We start from the raw sequence: 21,989 nt of genomic DNA, 5'->3' as shown, positions 1-21,989 counted from the left end.
CCCACTTCCCCAGGGCCTACCTGCAGGCCCCACACAGGCTCCGTGGTGGGTGGTGTGGACTGTAGAAATGTCTGCCTGCAGCGGGGCTCCGCGGCCCACTTCCCGCCCCCCTTCCTCTGTGCCTTCCCTGGTGGGGGAAGACCTACTCTGTGCCCAAAGAGCAGGTGCACAAAGGCCAGGGGTTGCCACCTGGTGGCCCAGTTGGAAGGATCTAGCAAACACACACCCAGCATTGAGGGCAGTGTCCCTTGGACCTGGTGTGGTATACCCTGTGCCCGTGGGAACATCATCCTTGGGCCTGGGGCCTGGGGCCACCCCAAGGAGCAAGGGGGCCCATGGCAGAGAACCATTCCTGCACCACTGGGGCTCAGCAGAGGGGCTCTGCTGCCTGGCCTGAGCTGTCCCTCTAGACATACCCACGCCCGGCCGGGGAAGCTGCTTGCCCTCTTCTGCCTCCCCACTGGTCCTGAGCCCCCTGCTACCCTCTAACCCAGGCCCAGACCCTCAGCCCTCAGGATAGGCTTAGGTGCAGAGCTGGCTCAGCTGTGCGATTGTAACCCCTCCCTCTGAGCCTCCATGTCCTGGTCTGGGAAGTGTTGTGAGGTTTGTAAAATGTGAGGTGTGGATGTGGCCCCAGGCTAGCCGGGGAAGAAGTGGGGATGGGACGTCCTGACCTAGACGTGGAGGCGGAACTCAGTCGCCAGACGGATGTTTCCTGTTGGCGTGAACACCAGGGGAGGAGTCATCCCTAGGTGGATATCCCCCCTGCCAGGCCCCAGGAGGCACCTGGAGCTTCCTGGGTGCCCTGTGGGGCCTGGGGGGGTGGGGACAGGGTGTGTGGTGTGTCGTGCTGGTGGGCCTCGGTGGTGGGCACACATTGTTCACTCAGCTGTCTCTTGTCTTCTCTATTTCTTTGGCTTCTCTCCCCGCCCCCCTTGCCCTGCTTTTGCCCGGGGTTTGGCCGCGGGCAGTGCCAACATACGGCCCTTACGGTAGGTCCCGCTCTTGGTCTGCATGTCTGTCCTGCATGTCAGTTCTGGTCACTGTCACTGGCATGCGTCTCTCTGTAGCTCTTCTCCGTGTCCTCATCTCCTCCCCACCGGCACCCCCTGGGTGGGAGCGCCCAGAGCACCTGTCAAGGGCCACCCTCTGTAGAGCTTGCCTGCTTCCGTCCTCGTTTCTCGTTCTGGAATATGCCCCGCCTTCTTCTGGGGGCACAGTGCTGTTCATGGGATATCGGGGCATTTCACGATGTTTCCAAGAGTTCACAAGCTGAGTCAGGAATCCTGGGTTCCAGGGGTGGGCTCGTCCCTTACATCCAGGTGTCCTGGGCCACCTTTCTGCTCTGAGCCCCTGAGGATGGGGACAGTTGATTAGAGAGATGAGGAGGAAGCCCTCTTAGAGGGAGCCAGTGAGTCGCATCTGCTCCCCTGGGGGTGCAGGCCAGCCTGGTCCTGATCTCCAGAGTAGAGGGAGCACAGCACTTCCCCCGGTGGTGGGGGACGCGCCTGGCACCTGTGGAACCGGGCACCCCTGGCTTCCAGGCCCTCTGGCCCCACATGCCCCAACTTCAGTCAGTGCTGAGCCTGCTCTGGCCTCTCTGGGGCATTCTAGGCTCACTGCCCATAGCTTGCCAGTCTCCACCCTGGGTCCCTTCCCTGCAGCCAGCCCAGCTCCCAGTGGGGGTTTATGTCTGCTCCTCTTCACAGTCCAGCCTCCCCTTGGGGCTCCCCAGCCAAAGAAGTCCATTTTTTCCTGCCCCTTCTCATATCCTGGACCCCATTCTCTGTCCCAGAAGGGATGGTTGAAGGGCATAGCTTTGGGTTGGGGGGTGTCTGTCCCAGGATCACGGGCAGGGGCTGAGCCACCTCCCTCTCACCGTCCCAGCCTCCTCACCTGCCCCTCCCGCTCCCTGCCCGGCAGGCCGCTGTGCCCCCATGAAGAGCATCTCCAGCAGCCTCAAGGAGACCATGAACCCGCACGACATCGTGCAGGACGCCATCCACAACTTCTCACCTGCCTACCAGCAGTACACGCAGCAGTCCACCCTGGAGCCTGGGCCCACCTGGCGTGGTGGCGCCCACGGCCTCTCCCGCTCCCACAGCCTCAGTGGCGCCCGCGACAACGAGAAGACTCTCCTGCTCAGCTCTGATGATGAATTCTAGGTGCGGGCTGCAGTGGCGGAAGTGCTGGCGCCATAGCCACGGTCAGGCTGTGCCCCACCTCCAGCCTCACCACCAGGCCAGGAGGCAGCTGGCACAGTGCTCACGCCGCCTTTATTTATTGGACCAGAAACACTCACATGTCACTTCCAGAGGAACGGGGGACAGCCAGGCTCGCCCATGGGCCTTCAGGAATATTTATACATGGCCCAGCCTGCACTGCCCGGGCGAGGGCAGAGGACACTGGGAGCAAGGCTTATGCCCCTGCTGCCCGTCCTGTGCTGGGGGCATGCTGGGACCAGCCGCACCCAGGCCCCAATGCTTGTGTGTGGACCAGCGGCTGCAGCCTTCTAGCCCCTCCTCCCCGCGAGACTCTCAGGCTGAGGTCGGCAAGCCGTGGCTCCCCCACACACCGTGCAATACCCTGTCTGACCTGGGCTCTTCCCGCCTGCATCCCTCCCCTGTCCACCTTTGTCCAGTGCTAGATTCACCTCACCCCGGGCAGGAGTGGGGATGTGGGCGCTCTGTGGTCCTCCCCTCCTGACCCAGGCCTCTGTGGCATGCTGCAAGGATCAGAGCCAGACACCAGGAGTCACAGGCCCCACCCAGGAAGGGCATTCAGGGCCCCTGGGCACCGCTTCTGTTGAAGCAGGGGCTTCTGGGCCCCTGGGTATCCCCACCTGTCGTGGCCACACCTCTGCCTGCCTCATGCCCCTTCCCCCTGGCCTACCAAGGACAGCCCACAGCCCGCACTGCCGGCTCACTTGGGTCCTTCCTCGATAGCTTTGGGCAGAGCCCTTGCTTCCTGGCTGCTTCAGGGCTCAGGGGCTCCCAGCCCTCCTTCCCAGGCTGATGCTGGGTCCTCTCTCTCTTTGGGGCTTCTCCCTCCCGTTTCAGGGGAAAGGTCTGAGTCTCCACGTTTCAGACCAGCTTCTGGGGGAAGGCAGTCCGGCAGGGAGACCGGGAGGGGTGGCCACACAGTGGGGAGCTGGGAGGTGGGGGGAATGGTCCCAGACTCCTCTCGGGGCCCCTATCCACACAGGGCCTGGTGTTCTACCCCATCTGGCCCCTGGCCCATCTCTTCTGTGCCTTAGTCACATATGAAAGCGCCCCTCCCTGGCTCCCCATCTGTCCCACACGCTCCCTGGGGCTCTTAGTTCAGCTGCTGGCACTCGCAGGATCCTGCAGTGCTGGGCCCAGAGCCCTTGGACAGGCCTCAGGAGTGGTCAGGACCACCAAGCCCCTCCTCTCCCCCTCCACACCTCTAGACCTGGGGCCTCCGGAACCCCCAGCAGGCTGGGCTTATACTAGCTCCTGACTTAGGAAGAGCCTCGTGTCACAACACGTGTCCCTACAGGCAAAGTGTCCTGGCATTTAAAACCCAGATTATCCCTGGGTTTGGGCTGCAGTCACCTGGAGAAGCTGGTAGGGTAAGGGAGAGGGACCCTGCCGGTGTTCACTGGGGATTCTTTCTTTTGGTCCTTCCTGGAATGAACAGGTTCCCTCCCTGCCACCTGTGAGGAGAGTTGGGGCCCAGCCGTCTTCCTGGCCTCCTTCCTTTCCTCGTGGCAGAGGCCTGCATGTGGGTGCCAGAGGCCAGCTCTCCCCCTCCATCTTGGGGGGGCGGAGCAGTTGGGCCCAAGCTGCCCGGGAGGGTGGGTGCAGACACAGGCTGAGGACCAGCCCTGGCCCTGCCCCGCCATCTGCTTTCACCAAGCTGTCTCTCCACCGTGGCTTCCCTTCTCCCTCCAGGCCAAAGTGCTGCTGATTCCCACTCCCTTGGTTTTCGCCTGCCCAGCGTTGCTGTTTGCGTGGAGGGTGGGGGGAGCTCAGTGGCAGGGAATCAGCGGTCCGTGGGGTCGTGGGGACGGGAACATGTGCCCGACCGCTCCATCCCCTCCTCCTCCTTAGGATGCATAACCTACCTTGTCTTTTTTTTTTTTAATTTTCTTTCCAGGTAGAGTAGCTCTTTGTACATAAAGAATACTTGAAAAATTAATTGTATGATGTATGAGAAGACAGAGTCTCCTAGTTTTGTATCTTGTTGTATGACTGCCATGAGTTCCACCAGAAAGCCACTCTATTTTGGTCTCTGTGACATTTTAAATGCGTGACAGAAGTGAGCAAATAAAGTGAGGAAGAAATCTATATATGAGATAATATAGATTGTATTGAAATCTCTGCCTGTGGGTGAGGTTTTTCCTTCCTCCTCCCTGCCCCCTGCTCTGGCTTTGGGGTGGGTGGAGTGGCTGTGGGTACAGGCGGCTTAGGAAACCCTCTCCTTCCTGTGTGTAACCTTTCAGTGATGGGGGTTCGGATTGATAGGGACCAAGGTCAAGGCCCAGGCCCCCCTTGGACAAAGGGTCTCCCCAACCTCCAGCCAGTTCCCAACCCAGGACGGCCGGGCCGCAGGCGGTCGATGCTCCTTCCCTGTTTGGTCAACCAGGTCCATGGGGCCCACATGCTGGCAGCCCCGCTCCTGCAGGCATCTCCCAGGATTTCCTGGGATCCCCCTTTCAGACGAGCTTCCTGCGTCTCTGGGACTGTCCTCCACCCTGGGACCCTCAGGGCCAGGGACCCTGGGGCAGGGGGCCGCTGGCTGTGGGCACAGTGCCTGGCCTCTCTGGTACCGCATGCCTTCTTGGGGCCTGGCTTGCTGCTGACGGGAGCACTCAGGAATGCGGTGTGGGTGGGGGAATTCCCACCAGCCTCCCGAGGCGGGTAAATAGCCTGCGTCCTCCCGCAGCTTCCTGCTGCCCTTCCCGCAGGCCTGAGCTCAGCATTTCAGGGTCATGGGCTTGGCAGGGAAAGCACCGAGCCCCAACCTGAGAAGGGGAGAAAGCCCCGTGGACACGGCCTACCTACGTGATCTGGCCCTTTCCCGGACTCAAATCCTGCACCTTCGCCCAACTGGTCCCTTACCCCGCGGGCCCCATACCCAGCCAGCCCCATACCCAGCCATAGAGTTGGCCTCACCTCGGTCTGTGCCACTGTAAATGTGTGTTCGGAGTGTTAAAACCTGCAGCCCCACAGGTCTCCAGGGTTTTTCGCACGTAATGCCCCATAGCATCTTCATTTTACAGATGGTAAACTGAGACTGTAAGAAACCAAATAAGTACCAAAGATCCCACAGCTAAGAACAGACACCTAGATTCAAACCCCAATTGCCGTGACCCACAGACCACAGTATACTCCACTCCTTCTTCAGGGTGCCCCAGAAGGGCTGGCAGATTGGGTTGAAATTAGTGAGTTTGAGGCCTAGGACAAGACACAGGGTTATGGTTTAGGCCTGCAGGTGGGGGCTGGGAAAGCCACTCTCCCTGCCTCCCTGGGCATTCCGAAACATGGGGAAGATAGTTTCCACTTGGCTGTAGAAAATCAGATCTCAATGTGAAAGTGCTGGAAAAATTACTCTGAAATCTGGGTTTTTTCCTCTCTGGGTGGGACTGTCTGTTCACTAAAGGGATGCCCAGGGAATTTAACCCTAAATTTCTTCTTCTTTTGAGACAGGGTCTGTGTCACCTAGATTGTGCAGTGGTGCAATCATAGCTCACTGCAGCCTCAAACTCCTGGGCTCAACCACACCACCATGACTGGCTAATTGTTTTCTTTTCTTTTCTTTTCTTTTTTTTTTTTTTTTTGAGATGGAGTCTTGCTCTGTCACCCAGGCTGGAGTGCAGTGGCGCGATCTCAGCTTACTGCAACCTCTGCTTCCCGGGTTTAAGCGATTCTCTCTTGTCTCAACCTCCTGAGTAGCCAGGACTACAGACATGCGCCACCACACTCAGCTATGTTTTTCTGTTTTTTGTTTTGTTTTTCTTTTTTTTTTTGAGACGGAGTCTCACTCTGTCGCCCAGGCTGGAGTCCAGTGGCGCGATCTCAGCTCACTGCAAGCTCCGCCTCCCGGCTTCACACCATTCTCCTGCCTCAGCCTCCCGAGTAGCTGGGACTACAGGCGCCCGCCACCATGCCCGGCTAATTTTTTTTGTATTTTTAGTAGAGACGGGGTTTCACCGTGTTAGCCAGGATGGTCTCGATCTCCTGACCTCGTGATCTGCCTGCCTCAGCCTCCCAAAGTGCTGGGATTACAGGCATGAGCCACCGCACCCGGGCCATGTTTTTTTTTTGTTGTTGTTGTTTTTTGTATTTTTAGTAGAGACGGGGTTTCACCGTGTTAGCCAGGATGGTCTCGATCTCCTGACCTCGTGATCCGCCTGCCTCAGCCTCCCAAAGTGCTGGGATTACAGGCGTGAGCCACCGCACCCGGGCCATGTTTTTTTTTTGTTGTTGTTGTTTTTTGTATTTTTAGTAGAGACGGGGTTTCACCATGTTGGTCAGGCTGGTCTTGAACTCCTGACCTCAAATGATCCACCCGCCTCAGCCTCCCAAAGTGCTGGGATTACAGGTGTGAGCCACTGCGCCCGGCCTGTTTTCTTACTTTTAAATTTCTTGTAGAGATGGGGGTCTTGCTATGTTGCCCAGCCTGGTCTCAAACTCCTGGCCTCAAGTGATCCTCCCACCTCAGCCTCTTCAGTAGCTGGAACAATAGGCATGTGTACCACCACATGTGGCTAATTATTTTTTATTTTTTGTAGAGATGGGGTGTCACTATGTTGCCCGGGTTGCTCTTGGACTCCTAGTCTCAGATGATCCTCTTGCTTCAGCCTCCCAAAGTGCTGGGATTACAGGTGTGAGCCACCATGCTCCGCCAGAATCCAGTCCTAAATTTCATTGTGCCCATGGCTTTGTCTTCCCAGGAGCTCCTGTGCTCTAAGCAACCAAGAGGAAGCATCGAAGTTTCAGCATCACTGGTCTCTGTCGCCATCTCCCCTCCACCTCATACCCTGTGCAATAGCTGGTGATGTGCACTAGCCCTCCCCGCCACCAGAAGCCCTAAGGGGTTGAAAGCAGAACCCCATTTTAGACACCCCTCGCCAAAAAACATAGTCCAGGATACACATTTATTCTCTGTGGAAAAAGAAAGAATTTGACTTTATTTAGAAAGTCTACAAAATACAGAAGACGATAACTCGCTTGCTGTAAGTCAGGAAATAAATAAATTCTAGGAGCCGGGCAATATTTTTTAACTTTTTTTTTGAGACAGGATTTTGCTATGTTGCCCAGGCTGGAGTGCAGTGGTGCGATCTCAGCTCACTACAACCTCTGCCTTCTGGGCTTAAGTGATCCTCCTGCCTCAGCCTCCCAAGTAGCTGGGACTACAGGCATGAGCCACCATGCATGGCTAATTTTTGTATTTTTTGTAGAGATGGGGTTTCACCATGTTGTCCAGGCTGGTCTCAAACTCCTGGACTCAAGCGATCCCCCTCCTTGGACTCCCAAAGTGCTGGGATTACAGATGTGAGCCACCGCGCCCGGCTTAAACATTTTTTGTTGTTGCTCTCCGGCTTTCCCTAAATATAAGATAAAATGTGATTTATTTGCAGATATAAAATATAAAGCCCAGCTCAGGGCCATACGCCACTTTTCCCAGGGAGCAGGAGCTCGGGCTCTGGCTGGGGAGAATAACTTAGATCCGTGCAATAAATAAACAGTGGGGAGGGGCAGTGTGGACAGTGTTGGGGGAGGGACTGAGACTGGGCTTCCCAGGAGAATGACAATCAAAGGCAGGGGTCAGCCCCCACCCCACAGTGGACACTGACAGGGGTTGAGGTGGGACCCTTCTTCTTAGGACCCCACTCCAGACTGTAGTAGGACTGCAGGGTCTGTCTCCTTGTCTCCCTATTTGCCACAGCAGTCCATGGCCCCCTTTCTCTGACTGGCCAGCCCCCGGACACCCTGGCTGCAGGGACAGCCTAGGGCTGAGCCAGGCCAGCTCCTTCCCACTCTTCCATCCGTGTCACCTTCTCTCTCCCTCTGCTTCTCTCCCCCTCCCTTGCAGAGAGCGGTCTCCCAAGCCAGGGAGGCCCTCCCACCACATTTCTGAGTCCCTGTCCACTGTCCCCCTGAAAACCATGGCTGGACTCAGGGCAGCAGTGAGGACACCCAGGTTTTGGTCCCAACACAACCACTAAGTGAAATGTGACCTCAGGCCTGTTTCCCCATCCGTGAACTGGGTTTCACTAGTCTTCCCACCCACTCTTTTAGTTTCGGAAGGCCAGGCACCCCCAGGCCCAACCAGAGGTGGGGGCATCTCTTCAGTGCAATTTCTCAGCAGGACGGTCCCGTAAGTCACAGACAGCCAAACCTAGCTTTGAATCCTGGGAGGGTTTGGAGGGCATATTGGCACAATAAGAGCAGTTTCCAAGATGAGGGGTGCCCTCTTCTCCCCCAACAGCTGTTCTCTAAGCCGGCTCTGTATCTCTCAATCTAAAAAGGCTAAACTTTCAGCCAAGGGCGATCCCAGATCCAGACCTCTGCCCCATCCCCAACCTACCCAAGTTCCCCTTCCCAGGGTCATTCGGTCCCAGTTTGGGGGGCTGCAAGAGGAAGACAGGGCCCACGAAGGGAATGTGTGTGCACCAAGGGGCCAGTGCTGCAGAGAAATGGGACCTGGGCACAGAGGCGGCGCTCAGGCACTTTGGGGAGGGAGCTGAGGCCGGAGGGGCGTGGCTGAGGCATGGCGGGGGCGGGCACTAGGAGCAGGAGGCCGGGCCGTGGGCGGGGTCCGGGCCGTGGGCGGGGCCAGACCCCGAGCCCGGGGTGGACTTGACGATGGTGATGACGCTGGCCGGCGCCACGAGCGTGGCGGGCCCGCGGGCGGCGGCCACGGAGCGCGCGAAGCCCTGCAGCGCCTCGCACTTGCCGCGCAGCGCGTCGAGCTCCAGGCGCATGGCGGCGTTCTCGCGCGCCAGCTTGTCCACCTCGCGCTCCAGCTCCGACTTCTGCTTCTGCAGCTCCTCCTTCTGGCACACGCGCTTCACGCGGCAGCTGGCGGCGTAGCCACGGTTTTTGAGTGTGCGGCGCCGCTGCTTGAGCCGTGTCACCTCCTCGGCGGAGAGCCCGCGCAGATGCCGGTTCAGCTCGCGCACCGACAGCCCCATCAGCGCCTCGTCCGACAGGTGCGGCGTGTTCTCGCTCAGCTCTCGCTTGATCTGCGGGCATGAGGAAACTGAGGTCCAGGGGACTGGGGACGGGCCCCCCCGCTCCACCCGCGGTGTTCCTCTTTCACCGCCTTAGCCGCCGAGGTGGTGGGTGGACTTGATCCAAAACCCCGAAGGGGAGCAGGAATCCGGGAAGGGGAAACCGGGCCAGACTAGGATCGGGACACAAAAGGAGGCCACCCCGGGGCTCAGCCTGAATTCTAACCTAGCGCCAAGCCCTGGACTCAGCCAGAGAAACCCAGGTCGGAAAGCACCTTTGAATGCCCCAGGGGACATTGACCCGATGGGGAAGGAGGCCTGGAGAGGGAAGTGACCTACCCCAGGGACATGCAGCCTGTGACCAGAGCCCAGGCCTCCTGGTCCCAGCCCATGGCTGTGGCCCTTCCCTTTGGCATCATGAAGGCCTGGTGCCTGCTGAGCCACCCAGGGGATTCCAGGAAAGAAGGGGAAGTTGGGATGAGGAGGCTCTGCATGGGCAGGGAGGGAGGGCTTCACTGGGTTGACAGAGGCTGCCTCCTCACCTTTAGAGCTTTGCTGGATAGGGGATCCACAGACATGTTTGCAGAAGGTGCCCTCTGGGCTGCAGACCTAGGGTAGAAAGGAGGTCAAAGTCACTGTTTTGTTTTTGGTTTCCCATTTAGAATAAAATCCAAACTCACTACCTTGCCATTCAAGGCCTCTGCTATCTTAGAACTGATTCATACCTGCCACCTTCCTCTCTCCACATTGGTCCACAGGCCTCCTTGAATGGCTCCTTCCAGCCGCGGGAGCTGTGCACAGGCTGTGCTCTTTACTGTTCTAGCCCCATGGTGACTCCTCATCATTTAGGTCTTTGCCCAATGTCACCTCCTCAGGAGGTCCTCTTTGACCATTCTGGCTAAACGCCTCTGTGTCACATCACATAACCCCGCCTATTAACCCTTGTAACAGTCACCTCTTCTGCATTTCTCATGCTTGGTTCCTCATCTATGATTTGTTTCTCCTTCCCACTCCTCCTCCACCAAAACGGAAGCCAATGAAGGCAGAGGCCTTCCCTGTCTCACCACGGCATCAATATGCCTAAATCAGTGCCTGGTATATAGTAGATGGCTCAGTAAGTGTGCACCAAATGAATAGATGTGCCTCTCCTGACCATTCTTCCACATGGGGCTTGGACATGTGCCTTTGATTTGATTTTTCAGAACTTTTCTTTCTCTTTTTCTTTCTTTCTTTTTTTTTTTTTTTTTTTTTTTTTGAGACAGAGTCTCACTCTGTCACCCAGGCTGGAGTGCAGGGGCGCGATCTTGGCTCACTGCAACCTCCGCCTCCCGTGTTCAAGGGATTCTCCTGCCTCAGCCTCCCAAGTAGCTGGGATTACAGGTGCCTGTCACCACGCCCAGCTAATTTTTTGTATTTTTAGTTTATTTTTATTTTTAGAGACAGGGTTTCGCCATGTTGGCCAGGCTGGTTTTGAACTACTGACCTCAGGTGATCCACCCGCCTCAGCCTCCCAAAGTGCTGGACAGGTGTGAGCCACTGTGCCCAGCCAATTTTTCAGAACTTTTCTTAAAGTATAACCTACATACAGAAAAGTACACACAGCATATGTGCACCAGTAAATGCCTTTACACAAAGCCCATCCAGCACCCCGTAAGATACAACATCAGCCAGTCCCCTCTCTCCCCAGGCCTCCTTCATCTAGACCTCTGTTTTGGGAAAGTTTTCCCAACCTCCTGGGGGCTGCCCCATACTAACTCAGCATGCCCTAGGCAGATGGGGCAGCCATCCCTAGACCAATGAGGGCCTCTCATCTCCTAATCCTCCCTCCCACAGGCCTGACAGCCACATGCTCCTTCAACAACTATTTATTGAGCTCTTTGCCAAACATGTACTTGGTAATGGGGAGAAAAAGGTGAATAAAACTCGTGGAGGGTCAGTGGTCATTGCTCTGGGCTGGAGAAGGGGACCATCTCCCAAAGTCCCCTTTAAAGCAGCAGTCCTCTCTGTCTCTAGCTGATAGGATCTACTTTGCCAATCCTCTCAGGTTCTCCGCCATGAGAACCTGAGTTTTCTCATCTGTCTCCAAGGGGAGGGGGCAGTGATAAGAAGCCAAGGAAAATAAAGGAAGATAGGCTGGGCGCGGTGGCTCACGCCTGTAATCCCAGCACTTTAGGAGGCTGAGACGGGCAGATCACCTCAGTTCAGGAGTTCAAGACCAGCCTGGCCAACATGGCAAAACCCTGTCTCTACCAAAAACACAAAAATTAGCCCAGGCGTGGTGGTGCATGCCTGTAGTCCCAGCTATTTGAGAGGCTGAGGCAGGAGAATTGCTTAAACCTGGGAGGTGGAGGTTACAGTGAGCCGAGATTGCGCCACTGCACTCCAGCCTGGGAGCCTGGGTGACAGAGTGAGACTCCATCTCAAAAAAAATAAATAAATAAAAAGAAAACAAAGGAAGATGCTTTGTGATCTGAGCTGTAGCATCCTATAAACACGTACCGTATCGGAAAGAGCATCACCCAGTTTTGTGGACAGCAGAGGGCAAAAGCCAGATCCAAGTCCTGGTTCCTTGAGCTGTCTACAGGGTTGACCTCACGGGTTGGCTCAGCCTCTGACACATTCTGGCAGGACCGGGGTGTCTCCCAGGGACAAGGTGCAGAAATGGAAAGCACATGGACCTTGGTGCCAGACACACCTGGGGCCTTTTGGGGGTGGTCTCGCTCTCTAGTTGTGTGGTTCTGATAGGTCAGCCACTCTTTCTGTGCCTCACTTTCCCCCTGGGTGACACAGGTAGCTGTGTTAAGTCAGCTCATGTCACACCTCTCTCAGGACCTTCCCACGGCTCACTGGAGTAAAGCCAGAGTTGTCACCATGGCCCACAAAGTGCTGCAGAAAGTGATCCCCAGTGGCCGGGCGCGGTGGCTCACGCCTGTAATCCCAGCACTTTGGGAGGCCAAGGCGGGTGGATCATGAGGTCAGGAGATCGAGACCAGCCTGGCCAACATGGTGAAACCCCGTCTCTACTAAAAATACGAAAATTAGCCGGGCGTGGTGGCACGTGCCTGTAGTCCCAGCTACTTGGGAGGCTGAGACAAAAGAATCGCTTGAACCCGGGAGGCGGAGGTTGCAGTGAGCCAAGATTGTGCCACTGCACTCCAGCCTGGGCGAGAGTGAGACTCCGTCTGAAAAAAAAAAAAAAAAGAAAGTGCTCCCCAGCATCCCTTCTCCAACCTCAGCCCTACTTGGCTTCCTTTTGTTTCCCCTGCCTCAGCCACACCCGCCCTTCCTCAACACAGGATGCACGCTCCTCTCCAGGGCCTTTGCACTGGCTGGTCCCTCTGCTGGCGTTTTTGTTTTTGTTTTTGTTTTTTATACAGGGTCTCACTCACTCCGTTACAGGCTGGAGTGCAGTGACACGATCACAGCTCATTGCAGCCTCAAACTCCCAGGCTCAAGTGGTCCTCCTACCTCAGCCTCCCTAGTAGCTGGAACTATAGGTGCATGCCACCACACCTGGCCAATTTTTGTACTTTTTGTACAGACAGAGTTTCATCATGTTGCCCAGGCTGGTCTTGAACTCCTTGGCTCAAGCGATCCGCCTGCCTCCGCCTCCCAAAGTGTTGGGATTATAGGCATGAGCCACGACGCATGGCCTCTGTTGGCATCCTTGTTCCCTAGATATCCACAAAGTTTGCTCCATCACCTCCTGAGGTCTCTTCAAATCTCATGTTCACTCAGTTTAGAATTTGCAACCCCTGATACACACACGGACACACACACACACACACACACACACACACACACACACTCCCTGTGTCCCTTCCCCACCTCAGGTTTCCCCATGTGTAATTGTCATCACTCACATATATGGTGGTTATTTGTTCAGTGTCTGTCCCTCCCAACCCCCCGATTAGAATGCCAGCTCCATGAGGGCAGAACTTATACCTGATTCACCGCGGCCTCCCCCATGCCTAGAACCGCGCCTGGCACCTCGCAGATACTCAAGGAATCCTTGCTGAGTTCTCAGTGTGACTCAGGCCAAGGTGGGGACAGTCCAGGGCTTCTCAGGAAACTCCCCAGCTCCTCCCAGCCCACACAGTCAGGGGGTCTGGCAGCTCACAGGGAAGGAAGGAGTGGGACAGAAGGAAGTTGGCGCTTGCAGAGATCCCCTGACAGGGGCAGCCACTGTGGCCCTTAAGCAGGAGAGTCTTAGGGGTCACCCAGGTTTCGCTGGGGGTAGCTGGGTGGACCCAGAGTGCCAGGTCAGGACCCAGGCAGCTTTAGACCCCTGTGCGGATCCACGGTGAAGACCAGTGGCTTCATGGGGTGACCCCTGAGCTGCGACCCCCCACTGCTGAACATGCCGGCTTAGCCTGGGCTCTGGCCTCAGTTTCCCTGCCTAGCACTCCAAATCCTAGGGGGCTCAGGCCCTGGCTGCCCACCTAGCTCTCCTTGGGGGCCTCTGTGCACTCCCATCCTACCTGGAAAAGTCATATGAGATCTGCTGGCTACCCTGACCTTTCAGATACTATCTGGAGACGTTTACATGTCAACCTCACCGATCCTACCTTTCAATGCAGGCCTTTTTTTTTTCCCTTTTTTTTTTTTTTTTTTTTTTGAGATGGAGTCTCGCTCTGTCGCCCAGGCTGGAGTGCAGTGACAGGATCTCAGCTCACTGCAACCTCCGCCTCCTGGGTTCAAGCGATTAGCTCTGCCTCAGCCTCCTGAATAGCTGGGACTACAGGCGCCTACCACCACGCCCAGCTAATTTTTGTATTTTTAGTAGAGACAGAGTTTCACCATATTGGTCAGGCTGGTCTCGAACTCCTAACCTCAGGTGATCCACCTGCCTCGGCCTCCTGAAGTGCCGGGATTACAGGTGTGAGCCACCACGCCCAACCCAATGCAGGCCTCTTAAGTGGTCACCCTCACCACCCTACACACACCTGGGGAGGTCCCAGCACACCTCCCTGCTGGTCTCAGCTCATTCCCACACAGCAGCTGGACAATCTTTGCACCACGCGAATCTGACCATGCCACCAGCCAGATTAAAGCCTTCCATGGTTCGGCTGGGCAAGGTGGCTCATGCCTATAATCCCAGCACTTTAGGAGGCTGAGGCGGGCGGATCACAAGGTAAGGAGATTGAGACCATCCTGGCTAACATGGTGAAACCCCGTCTCTACTAAAAAATACAAAAAATTAGCCGGGTGTGGTGGCAGGCACCTGTAGTCCCAGCTATCAGGAGGCTGAGGCAGGAGAATGGCGTGAACCCGGGAGGTGAAGCATGCAGTGAGCCGAGATCGCGACACTGCACTCCAGCCTGGGCGACAGAGTGATACTCCATCTCAAAAACAAACACAAAAACAAACAAGCAAACAAAAAAAAAACCTTCCATGGTTCCCTACTATCCTAAGGATGGAGTCCAGACCCACCCTCCCAGCACCCCAGGCCCTGTGTGTCCAGCCCCACGCCCATTTCCCACCACTGCCACCTCCACTCTGTGCTCCAGCCACACAGAATTTCTTTCACTTCCTCCCACCCGCGCTTTCTTGCCTCTGAGCCACCTCCCACCCCATGATATTTCTCTCCCCTCACTCCCCTCTACTTTGTTTGGCAGACTCCTACTCATCCTTCGGCCCTGGGTGCAGACATCTCCTCCTCCAGGAAGCCCTCCCTGATCCCTAGGACTTGTTAGGGACCCCCACCCCTGTGTGTAATGGGTTGTATTTCCTTGCTGTCTCTCCACCAGACAGGGAGAGGCTGAGTCAGCTCTGGGTGCTTGAGGCCACCCATCTCAAGACCTGGCAGGGAGCAGGCACTGGGGAAGGGTGGATGGTCAGAGTCTCTGACGCCATCACCCAGCTTGTCACCAAGCCGGGTTCCAAGCCGAAACGTAGTTCAGTACCTCCTGGCCCTGTCTCTAATTCTTCCTCCTCTCCAGCTGCTTCCTTGGGCCTGTTGGCAGAGACAGTACAGATGCTAGGCGAATGGGAAGAGAGCAGAGGGGATCCCATCCACGTGACTTTGGGCCCAAAGGTGGGGTGTGGGAAACAGGGAAAGGAGCACTGGATTGGGAGTCAAGCTTGGGTTTAAGTCGCATCTCTGTTTTCTCAGGCTGTGTGACCTGGGGTGAGCCACTCCATCTCTCTGGGTCTCCACTTTCCCATCTAAAGGATCGGAACAATACCTGCCTCGCAGGGTTTTGGTGGAATCAAGTGGTATACACTGTAGAGGTCAGTGAGCAGCTGGGAGGTTAGAATTGCTGTCTGTCCAGGAGGGGTCAGGCCTGTAGCCAGCACTGGGGTCTCGCTCTGATTTAGCATCTCCCAGCTGGCTGGGGTCACACAGGGAACTGCAGGAAAGGCCCTTAGAGGCCATCAGGTCCTGCCTCCTCCCTTTACCCAAGGGGAGGTAGAGACCCAGAGAGGGGCAGCACTTGCCTGAAGTCACACAATAGGTGTGAATGAATAGCTGCAAAGGCCCAGGACTGAAACCTGGTCCCTTCACACCGTCACCTCCCTGGTTCGCCCAACCCTGAGGTAATGCCCAGAGAGGACAATAGAGTAGTCCAGGCTCATACAGCCAGCATGGGGTAGAATTCAGGCCTGAGAGTTCAAGACCAACCTGGGCAAGATGGCTAGACTCCATCTCCAAAAAATAAAAAGATTAGCCGGGTGCAGTGGTGCACACCTATAGCCCCAGCTACTCAGGAGGCTGAGGCAGGAGGAACCATTGAGCCCAGGAATTCAAGGCGGCAGTGAGCTGTGATCCCGCCACTGCACTCCCTGGGTGACAAAGCAAGACCCCGCCTCTTAAAAAAAAAATTAGCCGGGTGTGGTGGTGGGCGCCTGTAGTCCCAGCTACTGGGGAGGCTGAGGCAGGAGAATGGCGTGAACCCGGAGATGGAGCTTGCAGTGAGCTGAGATCGCGCCACTGCACTCCAGCCTGGGTGACAGAGCGAGACTCTGTCTCAAAAAAAAAAAAAAAAAAAAAAAAAAAAAAAAAAAGATGGCCAAGCAAGGTGGCTCATGCCTGTAATCCCAGCACTTTGGGAGGCCGAGGTGGGCGGATCATGAGGTCAGGAGACTGAGACCATCATGGCTAACACAGTGAAACCCTGTCTGTACTAAAAATACAAAAAATTAGCTGGGCCTGGTGGCACACACCTGTAGTCCCAACTACTCAGGAGGCTGAGGCAGGAGAATCGCTTAGAACCTGGGAGGCAGAGGTTGCAGTGAGCCGAGATTACGCGACTGCACTCCAGCCTGGGTGACAGAGCAAGACTCCATCTCAAAAATAATAATAATAATAATAATAGAATTCAGGCCTGAGGCCACATGGAGCCACACACCTCCTCCCTGTGTGGCCCTGGCAGGGCGACCTCCCTGGGCCCTGTTTCCCTAGCCCTGTGAAGATGAAGCTGGACTTGCCAGTTTCCAAGGCCACCCCAGCTCTGATTCTCCAGGATTTGTGTTGGGCCCGCTAGGGATACGATTTGCAAGTTACAGTTAAGTATCCAGGCCCCCTTACCAGCCGTTTGGGGAGCTGGCACGTGCAGTGATGCTTGGCCACCTGAGCTACACAGAAAGACCCAATGGGAGAAGGGAAGCCTCTCCCCACGCAAGTTAATCAACTGCCCTTTGGGTGTTGCGGCTGATACAGAACCTCAGAGGCACAGTCTGGCCTCATGCACAAGTCATTTTTCCTGAGTCCTGGATTCCTTGCTAAGTGGGAATAATCACAATAATCTTGGTGTGTAAAATATAAAGGCTTAGGCAAGGCCAGGCGTGGTGGCTCACGCCTGTAATCCCAGCACTTTGGGAGGCCAAGGTGGGCAGATCATCTGAGGCCAGGAGTTCAAGAACGGCCTGGCCAACATGGTGAAATCCTGTCTCTACTAAAGAAAAAAAAAAATGCAAAAATTAGCCAGGTGTGGTGGCGCACACCTATAGTCCCAGCTACTTGGGAGGCTGAGGCAGAAGAATTGCATGAACCCGGGAGGTGGAGGTTTCAGTGAGCTGAGAACAAGCCACTGGACTCCAGCCTGGGCAACAGAGCGAGACTCCATCAAAAAAAAAAAAAAAAAAAAAGGAGGCATAGGCAAGAAAGATCACCTCATCTCACCATCATCCCACTATCCACAAGCAACAGAGACATCACTAACCACACACAGCACCAATTCCCAGTGAGGCAGGCCACAGCCCCTGAGTCTTTCTCAGCACAGAACTGTTTTCTCCTGAGCTTGGACACAGCCTAGAATCCTCAACACTGCCTCCAGACCAGGCCTGAGAGATGGAACCATCAGCCATTCCCTATCCTTGATAATAGCGGAAGCTGGCTGTGATTGTAAATACCCTCAGGTGCTAGGAAGGTTTTGAACCTGCTCTTCCCCCACTCCTCCATGCCCTCCTGTCCGAGCCTCAGCCCCCTCAACCGCATCCTGGATGTCAGCTGAGGCACCCACGTTTGCCCAGGAATGTCCTAGCTCAGCAGTCAGGCAATCACAGGGGGAAAGTCACAAGAAGGGGGAACTTTCTGGTAACCTCAGGCTTTCCGCTGCCAACCCCAGGCCAGGGGCTGCCAAGGGGCCTGGGTCCTCTGCCTTTGCCAGGCTGGCTGACCCTGGGCCTGAGAAATAGTAGCTGATCCGATCCCCTGTTCAGCACCTGAGGCAACCAAGCCACTGTTTGGTAGCCGTGGCGGACTGGAACCCAGGGGTCCTCTGTCTTCTATGTCGGCCACCACCACCTCTCCCTGGCTTCTTCCCTTGGAAGCCAGCAGAGCTGACCTCCAGGGTCTGCAGGTTCATGACGTCTTCTGGAGGCATAAGGAGAGAGGTGACTCTTGAGGGACTGACAACTGCCTTGTCCAGTCAGCAGCCACAACCCTCCAACGTCCCCCTCCCTGGCCCCACCAGTCCACTCCAGAGACATCCTGTAGAAGGCCCACCCGCTGGCATGGGCTCCTTTCTGGCTGCTGAGCCATTCTGCTCGCTCTGTGAGGACAGGGAAAAAATGTGTTTTCCTAGCTCTTGGCAGTCAGCACTGCTGGAGCCTCCTCCCTGCTGGAAGGGGAGCAAGGCTGGAAGAACCAAGCACCACAGAGAAGCAACGGCCTGGGGTTCCAGCCCCAGTTCAGGTACCCTCTCACACTCGCTGTGTGGCCTCAGGTACGGCACTCCCTCTCTCTGGGCCTCAGTTTTCCCACTATGCCAAACGTCCTCCGAGCCTAAGGTACCTTCCAACAATGACTGTCTCTGAGTTTAGAGTTTCAGATTCTGGCCCAGAGCTCCAAGACCACCAGCAGAATGGAGGTAGGGAAAGGAAAGCGGTGAAGGCTTCCTGGAGGTGGGGGCATGAGACACAAACTATCAGACTATCAGACTAGCCCTCTTCTCCACCTGCACAGCCACAGACCACTTCCTCCTTCATCTGGACCATGACCACAACCGCCTGCTCACCAGCCTCTTGCCTTGCCCTCCGTCTCCAATCCCCATCATTGATCCTCCCCCAAGAGCTGTCAGAGGAATCACTACTGACACAAACCCACGAGCCTGTCCGTGCTTGGCCCATTTCAAAACCCTGCAATGCCAGCCTCCCCGCAAGCCAACACAGTAGGGTCCTCAGGCCTCAACCGTATTCCTGTCCACTCTCTCCCAGGATCGTATGCTAACAGATGAATGAACAGACAGCAAATTCTACTATCCCTGAATGTTTCCCAAAGGGACAAGCGGGCAGTGCATGCCTGTGTGTGTGAGGGAGGAAGTTGCCTGAGTCCTGAAGGATTTGCTCGCTTTTGGGAGACTGCTTCAAGATTCCCCCAGCCCCTGCCCTGGCTTCCTGTTTCTCTGGGGTTCCCAGGCCTTTTTCTCCATGTGTTGTGGAGCTCTTAGAGGGCAGGGATCCAGGGCTCATTCATTCAATCAGCAAACATCCAAGAAGCACCTACTATGTTCCAGGCTCTGTGCTGGGCCCTGGAGACCCTGAAGTGAATCACAGCTCCTGCCTTCAAGGGCTTCACAGACAACCACCACTCTATCAGACTCAGCACACTAGTCACCTCCCCAGGGAAGCCTTCCTTGATTGCCCTGGCTAAGTCAGAGCGCTGTTATGTACTTTCAAACCACAGTGACTTCTCCCTCACATCACCCATCTAAGCTGTGTTTTGCATTTACTTCTGTGGATCTTTTTTCAAGTTTGTGTCCGCTGCTGAGCTATAAGCTCCCAGAGGGCAGTCTCTGGATCTGGTCTGTTCATCTCATCCCTGGCATCTGGTCCAGGACAAGGGCCCAATGGCAATGCAGGGCCCAGGGGTGATTCAATGGGAAGTTAAACTTCTCAGTGCTAACTTTCCATCTGGGACTGAGTCAACCAGCCACTTCCCCTCATCCCCTGACCCCAGGCCCTACTTTGTAATGTTTCCTGCCCAGCTTTGAGGGTGGGCCTGTCTGGTTCCTGTGCTCCTGGCCCCAACCCTCCTGACTCAAACCCCACCTACTCTTGGGTACCCCCAGCTCCTGGCATGGGGCTGTCAGCCCTGCTTTCTCTTCCACAATTCACCTGGAAAATACGCTGTCTGCACAGACTTCCAGAGCTTCCCCCTTCTACCCACCATCCTGCCATCCTGGCTGTTACCTAGTTCCCAGTGGTAGATGGGAATACTGAGGGTCCGGGCTGCTGTAGCAGAGCTCACCCAGGGTTCAAAGATCCAAAGTCAAAAGATCATTGGTTCCTCACCCTAGCAAGTTCAATTGCTCCCCTCCCACAATTCCATAGACCGTGGGTGGGTGGGTGGAGGGGGAAGGTGGATTAAGACCAAGGAATCTCTAGCCCCCAGCCCATCCTGCAGGCGGCTACGACAAACAGGTGCTTTCTGCAGGGCTATTGGGTGAGTGGGTGGGTGGCGGCTAGGTCAGGCCCCACCCCTCACTCATTAACCCTCCGTGCAGTCAGAGTTCTATCCCCAATGCCTACTGACCCTGCCTGGCCCAGGGTGAGGGCACTCGGGGTCTGTCGGCTGGCTCAGAGCCTCAGCTAGCTTCCGGCGTCCAGCTGTAGGTCAGTCTAGTCTCACCAGTCCCACTTGTGAACTGAAACTACCAGGAGAGCGGAAACCGGCTCCGCCCCATCCTCCACGACCTAGCAGGTACAGCCTCCAGAACCCGGACTAGCTAAAAGCCTGTGGTCCTCTCCCTGCGCCGCACCCTTGCAGTCAAGGTTTTCTGGCCCTTCCTGTTCTCATGGGACTGAGGGGATGGGCAACCCTGGGGACGAACGAGAGTCCCTTGGTTCTTCCCTCCCCAGGAAGCCCCAAAATCTGGGGACAAGAACCTGGGCTCCAACTCACTTTGTTACCAGATCCACCGGGGTGCCAAGCGGGGGTGGCTCACATCCCTCACTCCTAGCTCAGCTGGGTGGGGTCTTTGATACCTTGCCCCACCCTGTGGCTGCGGGCGCGGGCTCTGGGCGGGAGACAAACACTGGGGTCACGTGGCGGAGGCCCTGGGAAACTCCGGGGAGAGCCGGGGACGGACAGCCCCGGGTAGTAGGACTGGGGCGGCCCGGGCCAGAATTCCCAGACCCCGTGCGAAGACGCACGGGTCCGCTTCCTTCGCTCGGGTCCTTGTTCCGCGTTTACTCCGGTGGCCGGCCCAGGGCACGCCCTCTCCGAGGTACACACTGCTGGTGTACAGGCCCCAGGGAGCGCGCGCGCGGACACGCACACACAAGCACAACACACGCACACACGCCCCCGAGGTACACAGCGCACGCACGCACCGGGCAGGATACCCAGGCCGCCCGCCAGGGAACACACGCCCGCCCTCGGACGTAAACAAACCGCGCACGCACCGCCCGCGGGCGCCGGGCCAGGGCCTGTTCCCACCGAGTCACGTAGGAGCACAGCGCCCCCGCCCCCGCCGGGCGGACGCGGAGATCGCCGGCCTGCGCTGCCCCTTCCTCCCGGCGCCGCCGCCTACCCGCCCGCGCCCCGGGAAGGGGCCCCGTCTCCACCCCCACTCCCCCGAGCTGGCCTCGGCCCCGTCCTCGGCGTCCCCGGGACGGCCGCTCCCTTCTCCCCGCCCCGAGCCGTCCGGGCGATGGAGCTCCGGGAGCCCCGACGGATCGGGCCCGGGCGCCCACCCCAGGCGCATCCCGGGACGCAGAAACCCTGCCGCCTTGGGGTCCCGCGCACCGTCCTCCTGGTCCCGCGTTCCTCACCCGCTTCTGGGCCCGCTTGGTCCGGCGCGCTCACACACGCGCGTCTCGCCGCTGTCCCGGCCGCTGTCCCGATCCGCGCTCCGGTCAGTCTCCCCTCCGCTCTGAGCCGCAGGTCGCTCTGAACCGGGCGCCCGGGAGCGCTGCGCTGAGTTTTGTTGTGGGGCGGGCGGCGCAGGGGGCCGAGGCCGCGCGGAGTTGTAAGGCGAGCTTCCCGGAATTACTCACTCACAGGATTCCTTTCATTCATAAAAACCCAGTCATGCGGTGACGTCACCGACCCGGCCGCCCTCCGGCCAGGAGCGGCCGCTTGGTCCCTCGGCCCCGCCCCCGTATGACCCCGCCCCCTGGAAGCCCCGCCCCCGGGGCTGCCGCGATTCTCTGCCTGGTTCCAGGGCTCGCTGGGTGCGTTCACGTGACACCTCGCGAGAGCCCCGTGGGTGTAGGTGTCATTGGCTCATTTTACAGGTAGTGGTCCTGGCCCTCTTCTTTCGACCTAGACCTTCTGCCTTAATGATCTCATCCAGTCCCGTGGCTTTAAATGACATTTATATGGCTATGAGCCCCAGGT

At 56.9% G+C, this 21,989-nt stretch overlaps 2 protein-coding genes across 23 annotated transcripts in view, besides 21 other annotated features; one reads left to right on the top strand and one right to left on the bottom strand.

Annotated features, from left to right (window-relative positions):
- Positions 1 to 7,239, top strand: part of TMEM184B (transmembrane protein 184B) — a 56,616-nt gene extending 49,377 nt beyond the window's left edge. For 7 of the 18 annotated variants that reach the window (XM_011530113.2, XM_017028754.2, XM_011530114.2 and 4 more), the window contains one exon: positions 1,888 to 4,343. In XM_011530113.2, coding sequence (XP_011528415.1) covers positions 1,888 to 2,165 — 278 coding nt within the window. In that variant the 3' untranslated portion in view covers positions 2,166 to 4,343. Of the gene's footprint in view, positions 1 to 971; positions 993 to 1,887; positions 4,344 to 6,919 lie in introns of those variants that run through there. The other 11 variants (XM_017028759.2, NM_012264.5, NM_001195072.2 and 8 more) reach the window with 3 other exon arrangements.
- Positions 391 to 891: an enhancer, noted in NCBI's record as "H3K4me1 hESC enhancer chr22:38618750-38619250 (GRCh37/hg19 assembly coordinates)". NCBI's record gives its function as "activates a minimal SCP1, AML or CMV promoter by ChIP-STARR-seq in naive H9 embryonic stem cells {active_cell/tissue: H9 hESC(naive)}" and the evidence as "EXISTENCE:reporter gene assay evidence [ECO:0000049][PMID:30033119]".
- Positions 4,105 to 4,956: an enhancer, noted in NCBI's record as "H3K27ac-H3K4me1 hESC enhancer chr22:38614685-38615536 (GRCh37/hg19 assembly coordinates)". NCBI's record gives its function as "activates a minimal SCP1, AML or CMV promoter by ChIP-STARR-seq in primed H9 embryonic stem cells {active_cell/tissue: H9 hESC(primed)}" and the evidence as "EXISTENCE:reporter gene assay evidence [ECO:0000049][PMID:30033119]".
- Positions 4,105 to 5,428: a biological region, named in NCBI's record as "P300/CBP strongly-dependent group 1 enhancer GRCh37_chr22:38614213-38615412".
- Positions 4,229 to 5,428: an enhancer, noted in NCBI's record as "P300/CBP strongly-dependent group 1 enhancer chr22:38614213-38615412 (GRCh37/hg19 assembly coordinates)". NCBI's record gives its function as "activates an origin of replication core promoter dependent on BRD2, BRD4, P300/CBP, MED14 and CDK7 cofactors, with strong dependence on P300/CBP, by STARR-seq in HCT116 cells {active_cell/tissue: HCT116}" and the evidence as "EXISTENCE:reporter gene assay evidence [ECO:0000049][PMID:35650434]".
- Positions 7,123 to 21,640, bottom strand: MAFF (MAF bZIP transcription factor F). 5 transcript variants are annotated; one of them, NM_001161573.1, is made up of 3 exons: positions 20,550 to 20,614; positions 9,745 to 9,811; positions 7,123 to 9,214 (listed from the first exon to the last, which is right to left on the bottom strand). In NM_001161573.1, exons 2-3 carry the CDS (start codon positions 9,778 to 9,780, stop codon positions 8,756 to 8,758), a joined length of 495 nt encoding a protein of 164 aa, NP_001155045.1. In that variant the 5' UTR covers positions 9,781 to 9,811; positions 20,550 to 20,614; the 3' UTR covers positions 7,123 to 8,755. The 5 variants fall into 5 exon arrangements, with proteins under 5 accessions (NP_001155045.1, XP_047297226.1, NP_001155044.1 ...); XM_047441270.1 differs by lacking the exon at positions 20,550 to 20,614 and adding an exon at positions 9,928 to 10,061; NM_001161572.2 differs by lacking the exon at positions 20,550 to 20,614 and adding an exon at positions 21,396 to 21,640 and having other exon boundaries at positions 7,127 to 9,214.
- Positions 8,662 to 9,031: a silencer, noted in NCBI's record as "silent region_13712". NCBI's record gives its function as "represses an Ori minimal core promoter by ATAC-STARR-seq in GM12878 lymphoblastoid cells {active_cell/tissue: GM12878}" and the evidence as "EXISTENCE:reporter gene assay evidence [ECO:0000049][PMID:35858748]".
- Positions 9,202 to 9,251: a silencer, noted in NCBI's record as "silent region_13711". NCBI's record gives its function as "represses an Ori minimal core promoter by ATAC-STARR-seq in GM12878 lymphoblastoid cells {active_cell/tissue: GM12878}" and the evidence as "EXISTENCE:reporter gene assay evidence [ECO:0000049][PMID:35858748]".
- Positions 9,247 to 9,828: an enhancer, noted in NCBI's record as "H3K4me1 hESC enhancer chr22:38609813-38610394 (GRCh37/hg19 assembly coordinates)". NCBI's record gives its function as "activates a minimal SCP1, AML or CMV promoter by ChIP-STARR-seq in naive H9 embryonic stem cells {active_cell/tissue: H9 hESC(naive)}" and the evidence as "EXISTENCE:reporter gene assay evidence [ECO:0000049][PMID:30033119]".
- Positions 11,342 to 11,486: an enhancer, noted in NCBI's record as "145 bp 22:38608227 sequence used in MPRA reporter constructs". NCBI's record gives its function as "activates a minimal TATA-containing promoter with rs2064103 allelic activity by MPRAs in C283T melanocytes and UACC903 melanoma cells {active_cell/tissue: C283T | UACC903}" and the evidence as "EXISTENCE:reporter gene assay evidence [ECO:0000049][PMID:36423637]".
- Position 11,414: a transcriptional cis regulatory region, noted in NCBI's record as "rs2064103 or 22:38608227 MPRA-significant variant associated with a GWAS melanoma risk locus at 22q13.1". NCBI's record gives its function as "allelic transcriptional activity by MPRAs in C283T melanocytes and UACC903 melanoma cells {active_cell/tissue: C283T | UACC903}" and the evidence as "EXISTENCE:reporter gene assay evidence [ECO:0000049][PMID:36423637]".
- Positions 12,035 to 12,179: an enhancer, noted in NCBI's record as "145 bp 22:38607534 sequence used in MPRA reporter constructs". NCBI's record gives its function as "activates a minimal TATA-containing promoter with rs11450220 allelic activity by MPRAs in C283T melanocytes {active_cell/tissue: C283T}" and the evidence as "EXISTENCE:reporter gene assay evidence [ECO:0000049][PMID:36423637]".
- Positions 12,103 to 12,107: a transcriptional cis regulatory region, noted in NCBI's record as "rs11450220 or 22:38607534 MPRA-significant variant associated with a GWAS melanoma risk locus at 22q13.1". NCBI's record gives its function as "allelic transcriptional activity by MPRAs in C283T melanocytes {active_cell/tissue: C283T}" and the evidence as "EXISTENCE:reporter gene assay evidence [ECO:0000049][PMID:36423637]".
- Positions 12,330 to 12,474: an enhancer, noted in NCBI's record as "145 bp 22:38607237 sequence used in MPRA reporter constructs". NCBI's record gives its function as "activates a minimal TATA-containing promoter with rs61328776 allelic activity by MPRAs in C283T melanocytes {active_cell/tissue: C283T}" and the evidence as "EXISTENCE:reporter gene assay evidence [ECO:0000049][PMID:36423637]".
- Positions 12,388 to 12,403: a transcriptional cis regulatory region, noted in NCBI's record as "rs199576315 (now merged into rs61328776) or 22:38607237 MPRA-significant variant associated with a GWAS melanoma risk locus at 22q13.1". NCBI's record gives its function as "allelic transcriptional activity by MPRAs in C283T melanocytes {active_cell/tissue: C283T}" and the evidence as "EXISTENCE:reporter gene assay evidence [ECO:0000049][PMID:36423637]".
- Positions 15,990 to 16,134: an enhancer, noted in NCBI's record as "145 bp 22:38603571 sequence used in MPRA reporter constructs". NCBI's record gives its function as "activates a minimal TATA-containing promoter with rs71195093 allelic activity by MPRAs in C283T melanocytes {active_cell/tissue: C283T}" and the evidence as "EXISTENCE:reporter gene assay evidence [ECO:0000049][PMID:36423637]".
- Positions 16,052 to 16,069: a transcriptional cis regulatory region, noted in NCBI's record as "rs71195093 or 22:38603571 MPRA-significant variant associated with a GWAS melanoma risk locus at 22q13.1". NCBI's record gives its function as "allelic transcriptional activity by MPRAs in C283T melanocytes {active_cell/tissue: C283T}" and the evidence as "EXISTENCE:reporter gene assay evidence [ECO:0000049][PMID:36423637]".
- Positions 18,784 to 18,833: a silencer, noted in NCBI's record as "silent region_13710". NCBI's record gives its function as "represses an Ori minimal core promoter by ATAC-STARR-seq in GM12878 lymphoblastoid cells {active_cell/tissue: GM12878}" and the evidence as "EXISTENCE:reporter gene assay evidence [ECO:0000049][PMID:35858748]".
- Positions 18,974 to 19,118: an enhancer, noted in NCBI's record as "145 bp 22:38600595 sequence used in MPRA reporter constructs". NCBI's record gives its function as "activates a minimal TATA-containing promoter with rs2267374 allelic activity by MPRAs in C283T melanocytes and UACC903 melanoma cells {active_cell/tissue: C283T | UACC903}" and the evidence as "EXISTENCE:reporter gene assay evidence [ECO:0000049][PMID:36423637]".
- Position 19,046: a transcriptional cis regulatory region, noted in NCBI's record as "rs2267374 or 22:38600595 MPRA-significant variant associated with a GWAS melanoma risk locus at 22q13.1". NCBI's record gives its function as "allelic transcriptional activity by MPRAs in C283T melanocytes and UACC903 melanoma cells {active_cell/tissue: C283T | UACC903}" and the evidence as "EXISTENCE:reporter gene assay evidence [ECO:0000049][PMID:36423637]".
- Positions 20,054 to 20,133: a silencer, noted in NCBI's record as "silent region_13709". NCBI's record gives its function as "represses an Ori minimal core promoter by ATAC-STARR-seq in GM12878 lymphoblastoid cells {active_cell/tissue: GM12878}" and the evidence as "EXISTENCE:reporter gene assay evidence [ECO:0000049][PMID:35858748]".
- Positions 20,984 to 21,423: a silencer, noted in NCBI's record as "silent region_13708". NCBI's record gives its function as "represses an Ori minimal core promoter by ATAC-STARR-seq in GM12878 lymphoblastoid cells {active_cell/tissue: GM12878}" and the evidence as "EXISTENCE:reporter gene assay evidence [ECO:0000049][PMID:35858748]".
- Positions 21,484 to 21,813: a silencer, noted in NCBI's record as "silent region_13707". NCBI's record gives its function as "represses an Ori minimal core promoter by ATAC-STARR-seq in GM12878 lymphoblastoid cells {active_cell/tissue: GM12878}" and the evidence as "EXISTENCE:reporter gene assay evidence [ECO:0000049][PMID:35858748]".

The sequence above is a fragment of the Homo sapiens genome, chromosome 22, assembly GCF_000001405.40.
Source record: "Homo sapiens chromosome 22, GRCh38.p14 Primary Assembly".
Classification (NCBI taxonomy): domain Eukaryota; kingdom Metazoa; phylum Chordata; class Mammalia; order Primates; family Hominidae; genus Homo; species Homo sapiens.
Note: the sequence above shows the minus strand (reverse complement) of the source record. Positions and strands in the feature narration are given on the sequence as shown.